The sequence below is a fragment of the Homo sapiens genome, chromosome 15, assembly GCF_000001405.40.
Source record: "Homo sapiens chromosome 15, GRCh38.p14 Primary Assembly".
NCBI classification, from domain to species: Eukaryota; Metazoa; Chordata; class Mammalia; order Primates; family Hominidae; genus Homo; species Homo sapiens.
This window is the reverse complement of record NC_000015.10, coordinates 51,851,520-51,866,313: the sequence shown is the minus strand read 5'-3', so window position 1 is coordinate 51,866,313 and position 14,794 is coordinate 51,851,520. Positions and strand designations below refer to the sequence as shown.

General features: G+C 40.2%; 1 protein-coding gene and 1 pseudogene across 1 annotated transcript in view; one reads left to right on the top strand and one right to left on the bottom strand.

The window, feature by feature from the left end:
* Positions 1–14,794, bottom strand: part of TMOD3 (tropomodulin 3) — an 86,073-nt gene that overhangs the window by 49,412 nt on the left and 21,867 nt on the right. Inside the window, exon 2 of the mRNA NM_014547.5 lies at positions 3,304–3,503. Within this exon, the coding sequence (NP_055362.1) occupies positions 3,304–3,429 (126 nt within the window). The 5' untranslated portion in view covers positions 3,430–3,503. The remainder of the gene's footprint in view (positions 1–3,303; positions 3,504–14,794) is intronic.
* LOC100422490 (UTP6, small subunit (SSU) processome component, homolog (yeast) pseudogene) lies at positions 4,960–7,520 on the top strand (annotated as a pseudogene).

The following is a 14,794-nucleotide window of genomic DNA, read 5'->3' as shown; positions in this document are numbered from 1 at the left end:
CGGCTAATTTTTAAAATTTTTTGTCGAGGCAAGGTCTTGCTATGTTGCCCAGGATGGTCTGGAACTCCTGCTCTTAAGCAAATCTCCCTCCTTGGCCTCCCAAAATGCTAGGATTACAGGTGTGAGCCACTATACCCGGCCAAAAACAGTCTAACCACAATCTAAATGAAGCTAGCTGGTTTTAGAGACTATAAACCCATGAACCAAGCTTCATTAGAAATATGTTCTAATCAAGTAAGCTAATAGATCATAATTACTTTTCATATAAAAATTTTCTTTAATATGATTGTCACTAAAAATGACACGTTTCTCTCTTGCAGTGCAATTTTGCTGTAAAATATATTCCTAGCCTTGGGGGGGAAAAAAAGCTCTTCCTAGGCTGGCTGTCTTCTGGAGACATATATATATATTTTTTTTTTGGCAAAAACTCAGTGAGTTAGCAAACACGTACACTGAATACAGCAGAAGGACAGTAAAACAGTCCTCCAAAATATAATAAGGTACCACACACACCTTCGACCTACTTCCTGAGACTTTGTAAGTTACAGTGGTGTTTCTTTGGCTGAAGTAGCTGCTACTACCCTTGACCTCTTTTCTTACCTGGTTCTTTACCAGAACGCTTTCCAAAAACATGTCACCCAACAAACAGATGCTGTCAATAAACATCACTGTTCTCCTAGCCTCAACTAACAGTATTGAGGTTAGAGGAATTATGACTGGGGTTGGGGAGTTTGCAAAATACATTCAGAGGTTACTCAAGCCTCCCCACACAAGAAGCAGGCCATGGATTTACAAATAAAAAATTAGCCAACAGATTTCAGACTGATACCATAGTGCATGAGTTGGGAGGAGACTCAATGTGGTTTAACAGAAAAAGACTGCTAGACTGCCAGGTATCAATCAGGCAGTGAGGGATCTAGTCCCAGCTCTTTCCCTAATTGTAATAACTGAGGCAAGTTACCTAATTTCTGTTTTCCATCTGTAAAACAGAGGGCATGAACTAGATCAATGTTTCTGAACCAGTAGTGTTTTTGTCCCCTAGAGGACATTTGACAATGCCTGGAGACATTTTTGGTTGTCAACTCAGGGGGAGGGTATTATGTTTTTCAGTCTGGGTAACATAACGAGACCCTGTCTCTACAAAAAATTTTAAAAAGTAATTAGCTGGGTATAGTGGTGCTTGCCTGTAGTCCTAGCTACATAGGAGGCTGAGGTGGGAGGATCGCTTGAGCCCAGAAGTTCGAGGCTGCAGTGAGCTATCACTGCACCACTTCACTCTTGCCTGAGGAACAGAGTGAGAATTGGGCTCTAAAAAAAAGTCATGTTTTTTATTTTCTGAGTTTTATGATGCTTTGACATCTTGGGGCCTTGCTAATCCTGGAGAGACCACTCCTTCCAGGGCTGGCTAGAGAGCGCACTATCCCCACCAACCTCCCCCGGAGCACACCTTTCATACGCAAACCAACCAATTCTCCTAACCACCTCTTTTTTATCTAACGCTCACTTACCAAGCCAGTATTTCCCCTCCCCCTAAATCACCCAGAACCAGATACTGGACAACTAGAGACTAGTTACATAGCCCTGAGCCTGTTCAAATTATTCAAACCATCTAGTCCTAAACTTGTTCAAACTTGCCTATCCTGACTCACCCATTCATTCCCATTGAACCACAATAAAGGCTCTGGACCATGCTTGTTCCTTGATCCTTTTGCCTCCTGACCAATCTAGGTGCTTCCCCCTGTGCCTCTGTGTGGCATGCTGTGCCTCCTACTCTTGGAACTGTAAGTAATAAACTCTTCTTTCAAGGCAGTAGTTTCAGTGTGTGTCATCCATTACCAAACCTGATTAAAACAACATCCTAGGAACATTTTAAAACAGGAGGAGTGTGCTACTGGTCAGGGATGTTGTTAAACATCCCTCCAAGGCACAGAACGGCCCCCCTACAACAAATTATCCAACCTCAAAAGTAAATACTGTCAAGATTGAGGAACCTGGCCTAGGGACTAGATAAAGTCTTATGCTTTTTCCAGTTTTTTTTTTTTTTTTTTTGAGATAAGTCTTGCTCTGTCACCCAAGCTGGAGTACAGTGGTGCAATTTCGGCTCACTGCAACTTCCACCTCTCTGGCTCAAGCAATTCTCATACCTCCACTTCCCAAGTAGCCTGGGGCTACATGCGTGCACCACCATGCCCAGCTAATTTTTGTATATTTAGTAGAGACGGGGTTCACTATGTTGGCCAGGCTGGTCTCGAACTCCTGGCCTCAAGTGATCCACCCGCCTCGGCCTCCCAAAGTGCTGCGATTATAGGCGTGAGCACCCAGCCACTTTTTCCAGTTCTAAAACATTTGATTCAAATAGGTCTAATAGATTGAACTGCCTACAGAAGATACTGTTGTGATGTGATAAAAACAGCATCATTATCCTGAGTAATCCCCCTCCAATCAGATGTACTGGGAACTTTTCCTTATAATAGTAATTATGGTTAAGGGATTTGATCTATGGTATAGATACATCATCCAGTAACAACAACGTTATAAAATGAACTCCATCTCAGTCCTTAGAGGATACTTAAAATCAACGTCTTGGCATAAAGAAATGTGGTAAAGAAAAGAAGCCTAGCAAACAACCATTACCTTCACGACCTTCAGGCTCTTCCTTCACTGCCCGTCCTCCAACATATCAGGGAATAACAATTCAAGGGTCATGGGTGTCTATCTTAGCCTTGTGTAATTTATAAGACAAACAACATCCACCTTGCAAGTTAAAGCTTACATACATATATTCATGTCTGCTCCACAGTGGACTGCTGTATTGCCAAGAAGTTACTTAGATCTATTCTACCAATGTCTGGAAATGTAATCAATTCGGTCAGCCTCTTTCAGAAAGGGAACAATTAGATTTAGGGTCATGAAGAATCTTTTAGAGGCATTCTACACTGGAGCCACCTGGCATAGAAGCTCTGAAGAGACAGAGGTTGGCGTGTATCAAAAAGGTAACCATCTGCTGCATTGTACTAAAAATATCCCTTCCTGCACAGAGGAGAAAAATTTCTTAGAGGAGGAAAAAATTTCAGGAGATGTTTGAAAACAAGGATACTGAAGTAGTTTAGGACAGTCATGTCATTAAACATATGGAGGCAGAAGTGGGGAACTGGAGAGAGAGCCAAAAGCAACTTGATTTGGATAAAGTGGAGGAAAGGGTGGAAGGTGCCAGAGAAAAGTCATGGAAAAGCTCAAAGGCAGCTACTGAGTTTCAAAGAATTCGAAAAGTTATTTCATTTCTCTTCATCACCTAGCACCTACCTCGGGGTCAAGATCATCCAAAACAGTTTCCAGTTGTTTCAGTTCTGTTTCTGACAGATTCCCAAGGAGCTCATCTTCATCAAGGTCTTTGTACTTTTCTAAGTCCTTACGGAATGGCAGTGCCATGATGTGCAGGGCAGCAAGTCACTTAATTTTTGCTGTTCAGTACAGTCAGAAGTGATCTCTACTTTTTCTTAAAGCTATGGAGAGAAGAAACAAATACATTTTAAATAGTAAGTCATCTCCACCTACTTAGATCTAATTCTCAGGTTAAGTGAAATGTAATTTCCATGTGTCATATATTCTTTGATCACATATCACATACTATTCTTGTTTATGAATCATTCAATGCCTTTTGCCTTGTGTTGAGAAAAAAAAAATCAACCAGGAAAAAAGAGGGAAAAGATAAAACAAAATTCAAATCCATTAAGGCAGCCACTTGATAGAATTTAGAATTTCTAATAATTAAATTTTAGGGGGAAAGAAATTATGTGTCAAAATAAAAGATTTTCCATCAATAGCTTTCAAATTATTTTACCAGAGTACTTTGCTTCAGCACAATATGTTTAAGGCACATTTGTTTTACTATATATTGTTTAGGAGAACAATATGACTCAGTATTAATATGGGGGGATAGCAATACATTCCACATGACAGGAGTGGTCTCTTGCCACTAGGAAAAATATTCTTTTGAAAAGATGCATTTGAAAATATTTTTCTGAGGTGTTTTTAAAGGAAAAAAATACAGCATTCTGAAGATGATTGAGTAAAATACTCAAAATCATGCTGGGATATGTCATCCACTGACTGACAAGGTTGGTGGGAGGGTCTGACTGTGGGAAGGGACCATCATCATTTCCTTCCTGTGCGGTCTCTCCCAGGCAGCCATGAGGTTAATCAACAAGCAGGTTAATAGTAGCTCTAGAGACACAGAAGTTGGCATATATCAAAGAGCTAATCATCTGCTGATTCGGCAGGACTGTTCTATAGGAAAGGCGAAACCAAGGATTTCTGCATATTCCAGCCATATGTATGAACTGTCTGTCTCATAAAATATACCTAGTACTGGGCCAGACGCAGTGACTCACATCTGTAATCCCAGAACGTTGGGAGTCCGAGGCAGGTGAATCGCTTGAGCTCAGGAGTTTAAGAGCAGCCTGGGCAACATGGTGAAAAATACAAAACATCAGCCAGGTGTGGTGGTATACACCTGCGGTCCCAGCTACTCAGGAGGCTGAGATGGGAGGATGGCTTCAGCCCAGGAGGCAGAGGTTGCAGTGAGCCAAGATCGTGCCTTTACACTCTAGCCTGGGTGACATAGCAAGACCTTGTCTCAAAAAAAAAAAAAAAAAAGTACCTAGTACCTATGGAAATAAATACACTTTAGACTTAGTGATTTGGTTACGTTTTTCTTGACTGCAAAATGCTCAGTACTTCAGTTTGATACATTTCCTTTACTACCCCTTCCCTCAAGTTTTCTCAGCTTAATATTTTAGTATGTTTTTTCTGCAAACCAGTAACATTTTAAGGCTCCTTTGATGTGTTTCCATCTCCCATGAATGGAAATGTTCAAACTGTTTAGAAAGGCAGGCTCACCACTGGAGTCTGACAGCAATTTGACTAGCAACCACCTTGGGTCCAACAACAAGCAAATGGGGGAGCTTCCTGCACGTGTTCGCGGTTGAGAAGCTCCCATGGGGTTGTAGAGTTCGGACCTCATGGCAGAGATAATTCAGGAACACAAAGAAGATCAGCTCCCTGAATTGGAACAGCTAGAGCACATTGGACTGTTCAGTCATGCAGAGATTAACGCTATCATTAAGAAGGCTTCTGATCTACAGTACAGAATCCAGGAAAGAGCCCTTTTCAAGGACGACTTTATCAATTATGTTCAACATGAAATTAATCTTTTCGAACAGATCCAGAGAAGAACACGCATTGGATATTCATTTAAGAAGGATGAGATTGAGAATTCTATTGTACACCAGGTACAAGGTGTTTTCCGAAGTGCCTCAGCAAAGAGGAAAGACGATGTTCAACTTTGGCTCTCCTATGTAGGTTTTTGTTTGTTTTTTGAGATGGAGTCTTGCTCTGTCGCCTAGGCTGGAGTGCAGTGGCATGACCTCGGCTCACTGCAACCTCTGCCTCCTGGGTTCAAGCAATTCTCCTGTCTCAGCCTCCTGAGTGGCTGGGACCACAGGCGCCTGCCACCAGGCCCGGCTAATTTTTGTATTTTTAGTAGAGACGGGGTTTCACCTTGTTGGTCAGGCTGGTCTCCAACTCCTGACCTCAGGTGATCCACCCGCCTCGGCCTCCCAAAGTGCTGGGACTACAGGCATGAGCCACCGTGCCTGGCCTCCTATGTAGTTTTTTGTAAGAAATGGGCTACTAAAACTCAACTTAGCAAGGTATTCTCTGCCATGTTGGCCATTCATTCCAACAAGCCAGCTTTGTGGATTATGGCAGCCAAATGGGAAATGGAAGACTGCTTGTCTTCAGAAAGTGCAAGGCAACTATTTCTTTGGGCACTGCACTTTCATCCAGAGGGCCCAAAACTTTATCAAGACTACTTTAGGATGGAGCTGATGCATGCTGAAAAACTGAGGAAGGAAAAGCAAGAATTTCAAAAAGCCAACATGGATGTGGAGAATCCTGATTATTCTGAAGAAATCCTTAAGGGCAAATTGGCACGGATCATCTATGAAAATTCTGTAAGCATAATTTAAGGTGCAGAATTTCATGTGTCACTGCTTTCAACTGCACAGCGATTTGACTTTGCCAAAGGTCTACAAATAGAAATTTATGATGACCCTCAGGCTCTACACACAGATGATCTTCTCACTTGGGATTATGCGGCAAGGTGACAATTAGAGATCGAGTCACAAACGGGAGAAGAGCAGCGTACAGCCTACAACGAAATAAGACAAAGCAGAGGAGGGCCAGAAGGAGGACAGATGCTGTGCCGTATATGAAGAGGCAGTGAAGACTCTGCCAAGGGAGGCCATGTGGAAGTGTTATATCACCTTTTGCTTGGAAAGATTTACTAAGAAGACAAATAGTGGGTTCCTCAGAGGGAAGAGGTTGGAAAGAACCATGACTGCATTCAGAAGGGCACATGAACTCAAGCTTCTGCCAGAATTCCAATACAAGCAGTTGACTTGAGTTGTTGCTGTGCCATAACTTCCTGAGGAAAGCTCTAGAGGTGGCAGTAGCTGGGACTGAACTGTTTATAGAGACTCTGGGACAATGTGGCAGATGAAGGTGCATGTGCTGATTGACTCAAAGAGCCCTGACATAGCCATGCTTTTTGAGGAAGACTCTGTGCACCTGAAACTCCAGGTTTGTCTACCATTGTGGACTTCTTGGCAGAGTGGAGTGAAGGTGCCAAAAGCCAAGAAGACACCGAGGCAATCTTTAAGAAAGCTCTCTTAGCTGTCACAGGTGCCAACTCAGTAACCCTGAAGGATAAGTACCTGGATTGGGCTTATCAACATGGTGGCTACAAAAAAGCCAGAGCTGTGTATAAAAGTTTACAGAACAGCCATCCATTTTCAGTTGACTTTTTCAGGAAAATGATTCAGTTTGAAAACAGCAAGAATCCTGCAAGATGGTGAACATTAAGAGAATATTATGAGAGGGCTTTGAGAGAGTTTGGATCTGTAGATTCTGATCTTTGGGTGGATTGTATCAAGGAACCATTGAACCACCCCCTTGGTAGACCTGAAAACTGCAGACAGATCTACTGGCGAGCAATGAAAATGTTGCAGGGAGAGTCAGCAGAGGCATCTGTAGCTAAACATGCTATGTATCAGACTGGCCGTTTGTGAAGAGGAAGAATACAGCCATCTTTGTGAAACAGTATTGCAAGCCCTGTGGGCAAATATGTATTATGAGTCCATTTTTGTAATTTGTTCATCGATGGCAGACAAGATGGCTGTCTGATTTCAAGACACACTTTAATTTTATATTAACTTGTTAATTTTTTAAAAAATTTAAAAAAAGATTTTATGATTGAGACAGGGTCTTGTCCTGGCTGGTCTTGAACTCCTGGATTCAAGTGACCTTCCTGCCTCAGACTCCCGAGTAGCTGGGATTATAGGCGCAGGACACCATGCTCAGCTTGATGCACGAATCTCTAATTCCAGGAAAGAGAACTGCTGATTTAATGTTGAGATGCTGAGGCCAGACCTACCATAAGTCCTAAATGTTTTCCAGAATACATGGAAAGCATACGACTGGGTTTTACTTATTATCCCAGTTCAAGTATGAGTATCTCTAATCTAGCTAGGAGCCAGTTAAAATGAAGGAGAAAGTACAGTTTTGTTGGTTTATTCTCATTGTAAAAGATACATGGTATGCATTTGTTCTGGAAAATATAGAGGAAATAGAATTGTGTGTTGAAAAAAGTAAAAACATCCTGTAATCACAGGGGAAAAAAAACACAAGCAAATGAACAGAATTTGCTTATGCAGATACTACATTGCAGGCAACTTGTGTAACTGCCCAAAACAGGTCTGGTGTATACCTGTTTTATTGGCACCTCTTCTGGTTTACTGGTTATCTTGAATTTTTTTTTTTTTTTTAGCAAATTATTATCATTGTCATTACTGTTTGTTAAGCGTCCATTTTGTACCTCCAACTTTAAGATAGCAAGTTTGGCCAGGCACAGTGGCTCATGCCTGTAATCCCAACACTTTGGGAGGCTGAGGTAGGAGGATCACTTGAGCCCAGGAGTTTGAAACTAGCCTGGGCAACACAGTGAGACCTCATCTCTATACAAACTTTAAAAAAATAGCTGGGCATGGCAGCACACACCTGTAGTCCTAGCTACTTGGGAGGGTGAGGTAGAAGGATCGCTTGAGCCCAGAAGTTTGAGGCTGCAGTGAGCTACGGTCGTGTCACTGCACTCCAGCCTGGGCAACAAGGTGAGATCCTGTCTCTAAAAATAAATAAATAAATAAGCAAGCTTACAAGTATATTTACAGTATATTTTCTCCATTAAAAATAATACAGTCTTCAGATAAGATTCAATGGAAGATATCATCACTTTCCAATATATTAGCCATAAAATGTAATTCTGAAGAAGGTAAAAATTTAAGGGACAAAAATTAAAAATAACACCACTTAAAAAAATTTTCCCTTTATAAAAATATCAATGATGTGATATTTCAGACAGATAAGGGTAAGAAACTGATAAAAGTATATAAATATGTACCAAGAATAATTTAATTCATGCTTTTTTTTTAATGTTTGGATAATTACTGTTTTAAAAGTTTTTAATGTGCTTTAATACATTTTTGAAATTTTCAGTACATAAGCCAATTTTCTCAATGAATATTTTAAAATATACATAGATATAAGTTTAATTATTTTATGCATCCCTTACTTTACTTTCAAGAATGTCCTAGTATGGGTCATAAATTCAATGATCATTCTAACAGGGCACTCTAATAGGCAATACGATAGGAATGAGATATTAGGGGCAAAGGCAGGCAATGCTATATGCCACCCAGGTTCTGTAAAGTTGGAACATGACATTCTACATTCCACAGAGAGACTAAATAGCTTACTCCAATACATTGCTTCTCCTAATCCCAAAGTAAAATCTACTACACAAAGCTTGTTTACAGTATTGCTTAAAGAATAAAATGAAAAACCATGAACACCCTGCCCAGCATAAAAGAGAAAACATTACTAATACCCTCATATTCACTTCTCTAGTTGCATCTCCTCTTCCAAAAGTAGCCACTCTACCAGATTTTGAATTAATCATTCTCTTGCTTTCCTTCAGTTTTGCCTTATTTGTACATACCCTCAACAGTTTTAGATCTGCCCCTTTTCTTGCATGTTACGTAAACAGACTCGCAGAGTATGCACCCTTCTGTGACTTGCTTTTTTCATTTAATGTTGTTCATTGTTTTGAGTTGATGCTTAGAGCTATACTACTTTCTTTTCATTTCTATATACTATTCTATCGTATAAATGAACATTTAAGTTGCTTATAGTCTCTCCCCTCTATTTCTCTGCTATAAACAATCTTGTTACCTATTTCCTGGTACACATGCGTGAGAGAGTTTCTCTGACCTTCAAATCTAGGAATGGAATTGCTGGGAAAAGGGTATGCTTATACTGAACTTGATTAGGTAATCCCAAACTATTTTCAAAGTGATTGCTTGAATTAACATTCCCAGCAGATTCGGCACATGACAATTCACATTGCTCCTCATCCTTGCTCATTGTTGGTATTATCAGAGTATTTATTTTTGGCCATTCTGGTGGTATTTCACTGTGGTTTTAATTTGCATTTTGCTGAATTATGATGAGCTTGAGCATCTTTTCATATGTTCATTGGCAAATGTGTTCCTTATTGTGTGAAGAATCTTTTGCCCGTTAAAAAAAAAAAATGCCCTTAATATATTCTTTGTTGGTTATATGTAACAAATCTCTTCCATTTTTTTTTCAAGTCTTATCAAGTTTATCATGGTATATCCTAGGGGAAAACGTTTCTAAGTATTTTTCATTTTTAAAAAAGTTTACTTCTTTAGCTAGGTTTTCCTTTCCAAAGCAATGAAAAATGAATTTCCTTCAGATTCAGATTATAGAATTTTGCCATGAGGCAAGAACTTCTGGGTAATACACCAAAGTTCAAAGTTTCAATTCTGCTTCAATAAAAAGCAAATAACTGTTGCTCATCCTATCTAATGATGCTCAAAAGTTATCACTTTTTGTTTGTTTGTTTTTGTTTTTTAAGACAAGGTCTCATTCTGTTACCCAGGCTGGAGTACAGTGGTGCAATGACGGCTCACTGCAGCCTCTGCTTCCTGGGCTCAAGCTATCCTCCCACCTCAGCCTACCAGGTAGCTGGGAATGCAGGCATGTGCCACCACACCCAACTAATTTTTGTATTTTTTGTAGAGACAGTGTTTCACCATGTTGCCCAGGCTGGTCTTAAACTCCTAGAATCAAGTGATCTGTCTGCCTCGACCTCCTAAAGTGCTGGGATTACAGGCGTGAGCTACCCACCACACCTGGCCACTACTAGCATTCTTTCCTCAGATGTTCCCATTATCAGATTCTCTAACTTGATTTTACCTTCCCTCTCAACTCTCATCCTTTATTGAGGAACATTTGTATACTGACAATGTTCCAAGTGCCAGCAGGAGCTCAGAAACTGCTTAGGAAGGGAAGTTCTGGAAGGAGTGCTTTGCTTTGCTTTTCTTTCTGTTCTGGGATGACATGTCTCTCTTGCTTGTCCTTTGACATCTGCCTTCTAGAAGAGGAACAAATTCTGAATGATGAAGAGGTGAAACCAGTGTGCTAGAAAAGTACTTTAAATCTACACTTTGTCTACAGAAACTTTTAATCTCTAAGCTAATGTAAAATGTATTTCATATAAAAGTAAAAAACAATTTGCATTGTACAAGAATATGGGAATTGGTTTTCAAAGCATAACATTCTCACGATCATTTAAGAAAAACACAACTTTTTGTAAATAAGCAAGTTCTGCCAGGTAAGTTAGGCAAAGCTTAAGAATTTTTAATTTGGAATTCTGATATGTTCAGACTATTTTCCTTCTTAACTCACTTTTTACAGCAGTGTTTCTCCTGCTTTTGAGTGCATCATAATCTCCTGGTGGGCTTGCTAAAACACAGATTCCTGGGCCCACCCCCAGTGTTTCTTGATTGAGTAGGTCTGGGGTGGGCAGATAATCTGCATTTCTAATAAGCTGCCAGGTGGTGCTGATGCTGCTGGTCAGGAACTATACTTTGAGATCTACTGCTCTAGAGGTGCTCCCCTCATCAGTTCTGACAACTACATCTCATACTGTGTGGCAGAGTGTATTCTGTTTAACTCAAAAGTCTTCGAAGGCTGAAGAAATTTGTTTAAATATTCCCCAAAGTCTATGGGTGCTGTTGCTTTTCTTCTTTCCACTCACCCACTGCTTCACTGAACTTCAGCTAGTGGAGGCTATACTTAAGGACATCAAGAAACTCCTGGTATATTTTTGGCCAAGTCTTCTTCCATTTACCATCTTCCTTTTCATTTATCACTTATTTCTAGAATCCTTATTTTTCACACTGGACTTCCAGGACCATGCTAATTTTTTAATGGAATCTCAGCAATCTCATTTTGCTAAGAGTTTTAAATTTTAGCTTTCTATAAGAATAATTTCTAAAAATTAATAGCCATATTCTAGATCCTCTGGATCACTTAAAAAGAAGCAATGCTGTGGGATTTCAGTTGCCATATTTACATTTATATTTATCATTGCACCAGCACCTGGGAGAACTGCTTTGTTTTGATTGTCAATTAACACTAGGAGGCCCGACAGCTTTTTTCCTTTAAAAGGGATCTATATATAAGTTTGAGAAGCCAATGTTCTACTCTGTTCAACCAATTTCCACTTATTTTCTTCAAGCTTTATATTTGTGTAGGGAGTAAGGTATCGACACTGACTATATTTGTTAAAATGTAGAATCATATGATTCAGAGAGATAGTCTATGAGTTGTTAACCTCCATTTCACCACCATTTCCATAGGGTGGGCTCAGAGTTTTCAGATTCTTATCCATTCTCTCTTTAATACATACATGTGATCATATTGCTCTCTGGCCCAAAAGCCTTATATAACTCATATTACCCACAACAGGGTTAGGCAAACTACAGGGGGCCAAATTCGGCCTGCTGCCTGTCTTTGTAAATGTTTTATTTGAACACATTCACATTCATTCATTTATGTATTGCCTATGGCTGCTTTTGTGCTACAATGACAGAGCTGAGTGATTGCAACAGAGACCAGATGGCTTGCAAAGCTAAAATATTTACTATTTGGCCCTTTACAGAAAAAGTTTGCCCATCCCTGACCTACAAGAGAAAGTCCAATCTCCTCAGCATAAGATACACAGTTCAGAGAAGCTGGTCCTTACTAGCTAGTTTTCCTATATTATCTCGGACTGCTCCCCATCACATAGCCTATACTCCAAACAGGCCACAAACTTTAGGCCTCTCTATTCCTTTGCTTATTATGTTCCCTCTCTCTAGAAAAAATGCATTCATTCCCATCTACCTCTATCCTCAACTGAACCTCACATATTCTTCAAGACCTAGCTGAAAATGTCCTATCTTCCCTGAAAATTTCCCTGGTCTCCATTCTCACACCCAGGCAAAATTAATGATTTCCTTAATGATGTTGCCATTATCTTTTTTTTTTTTTTTTTTTTAAGAGACAGTGACTCGCTCTGTCAGGCCAGAGTGCAGTGGCGCAGCCTCAAACTCTTAGGTTCAAGTGATCCCTCCTCCTCAGCCTCCTGAGTAGGTAGGACTACCAGCATAAGACATCATGCCCAAACTGTTGTTATTATCTTTATATATACATCCATTATAACCACAGGTTGTATGTACATCGGTAACTTCAAAACTTAAGGGTGTAACTGAAAATACTGACATAAAATGGTAAGAGTGTTTCCTAGAAAATCAGATATATAAAATGACAGTACCATAACTAAAGAAAGTCCAGGTGCAGTGGCTCACGCCTGTCATCCCAGCACTTTGGGAAGCCAAGGAGGGAGGATCGCTTAAGTCCAGGAGTTTGAGACGAGCCTGGGCAACATAGTGAGACCCCCATCTCTACAAAATACAAAAAACTAGCCAGGCATGATGGCCCACGTCTGTAGGCCCAGCTAGTAGGAGGCCGAGGTGGGAGGATCACTTGAACCCAAGAGGTCCAGGCTGCAGTCAGCCATGATTGCACCATTGCACTCCAGCCTGGGTGACAGAGTGAGACTCTGTCTTAAAAATAAACAAACAATAAAGAAGGCAATATTTCATCATCCAATTATTTCCTCTTATTCTTCTCAATGTTCACCAAGATATCTTCTAATTAAAATTCAGCTATTCATGTAGCTTTCCTCACTAGATATTAATAAATTGATATTTTGGCTTACGTATAAGTCTTTTTTATGAGTATGGTTGCTACATGCCAGTTTTTAAGAGATTAGACACCTACCAGTTGATTGAAATTGTGTCTCTGTAAAGATAAAGCTGTGGGCCATCACCTGAAATCCTATCCCAGAGCTGGCTGGCCAGCTACTCCATAAAGACACCCCTCAAACTTACTTCAAACCAACAATTATGCTGTATTGGAGTTAGTCTTTCACCTGTCTCTCTCACTAGACACTGTAAAGCTCTTGAAGAGCAGAGAATCTCTCCCAGATCTCATTCCCCACTGGGCTGCCATTGCCAGGTACAGTACATAGCTAACACAAATTTGATATACTTGGATCACACATCAATCTCTGCTTTCCCTTCTTTGGTAGTTCCCTCTTTCTCCTCCAGCTACCTAGTATCCTCTTGCTCCCAAACTCTAATCCCCTTATCACAACTAAAGGGGGGGCTGAAAATGAATTTTTGATACTTCCGTTGATCCTTTGCAGCCCCTTCTTCACCTTTTCTTCCCTATCAACTCATTTGAGCTTAGTATTCAGAGTTCTCTGCTGTCTAATCTCCCCCAGCTAAAAACAAAACAAAAAATCTGCTCATCAGTCATCTCTGAAATTAAATGAAAATTTGATTTTTTTTTTTTTTAGGTAACCAAATGAGTTTCCTCTTCAGGAGACACCAGGCCTCAGGTTAACTCCACTTCAGGTGCTGGAGGCCTTCTCTTCAGTTGCGCTAGGCTTAAGACTGTTATGCTGTCTTTTCCTCACTGGCTTCTCCTAGGATCCCTGGGTGCTCAATCTCCACAACCCACCAGATCAGAGAATTTTTTTGATCTCAAGATTCCCAGATGAATATTTGTTTTTCAATATACTTACTGTTCTTTTGACATATATTTTTGAACATTTCCTACGCCATGAATTACTTGTTCTAGACAACAGGCATAAGCAGTATACAAGACAGACAAGCTCCCTGCCCTATTTTAAAAGTGGCATACAGACAAAAACCAATTAATAAAGGAAGAAGGTAATACGAGACAGCAATAAGTACTATAAGGAAGAAAACTTAAAGCAAAGGAGGTGGGGAGGATCAGGAAGGCTAACTGAAATGGTTCAGAAGGACTGTTCTGAAAGATGACTTTTGAGCTAGGACCTGAGGTCTCCAAGCAGCTCTCTCAGCCTAGGACTACGCTAATAGCTGCAATCTAGGTGAGAAATGATGGCAGCTTTGCCTAGAGTTGTGGCTGTGGAGATGGAGAGAAGTAGATAAACGTGATATGTTTTGGAAACACAGCGGTTGGCTGTAGGGGATAAAAACACGAGCTGCACGAAGGATGACTTCTAAGTCAATTTCAGTTAGTATTTAATAATATTTCTTATTCCACACCTATTTTTATCCTGAGGAGCTGAACATTGCCCTATGCTACCTGTATTTCTCAGCCTGCTTTAAAAAGAGTTTCTTGGTTGATATTTTCATCGTAATCTGTTTTGAGATCCACATTGTGAATGGTCCTAATATGACAGTTTATGAACAAACCCATAATAATGATAATCAAC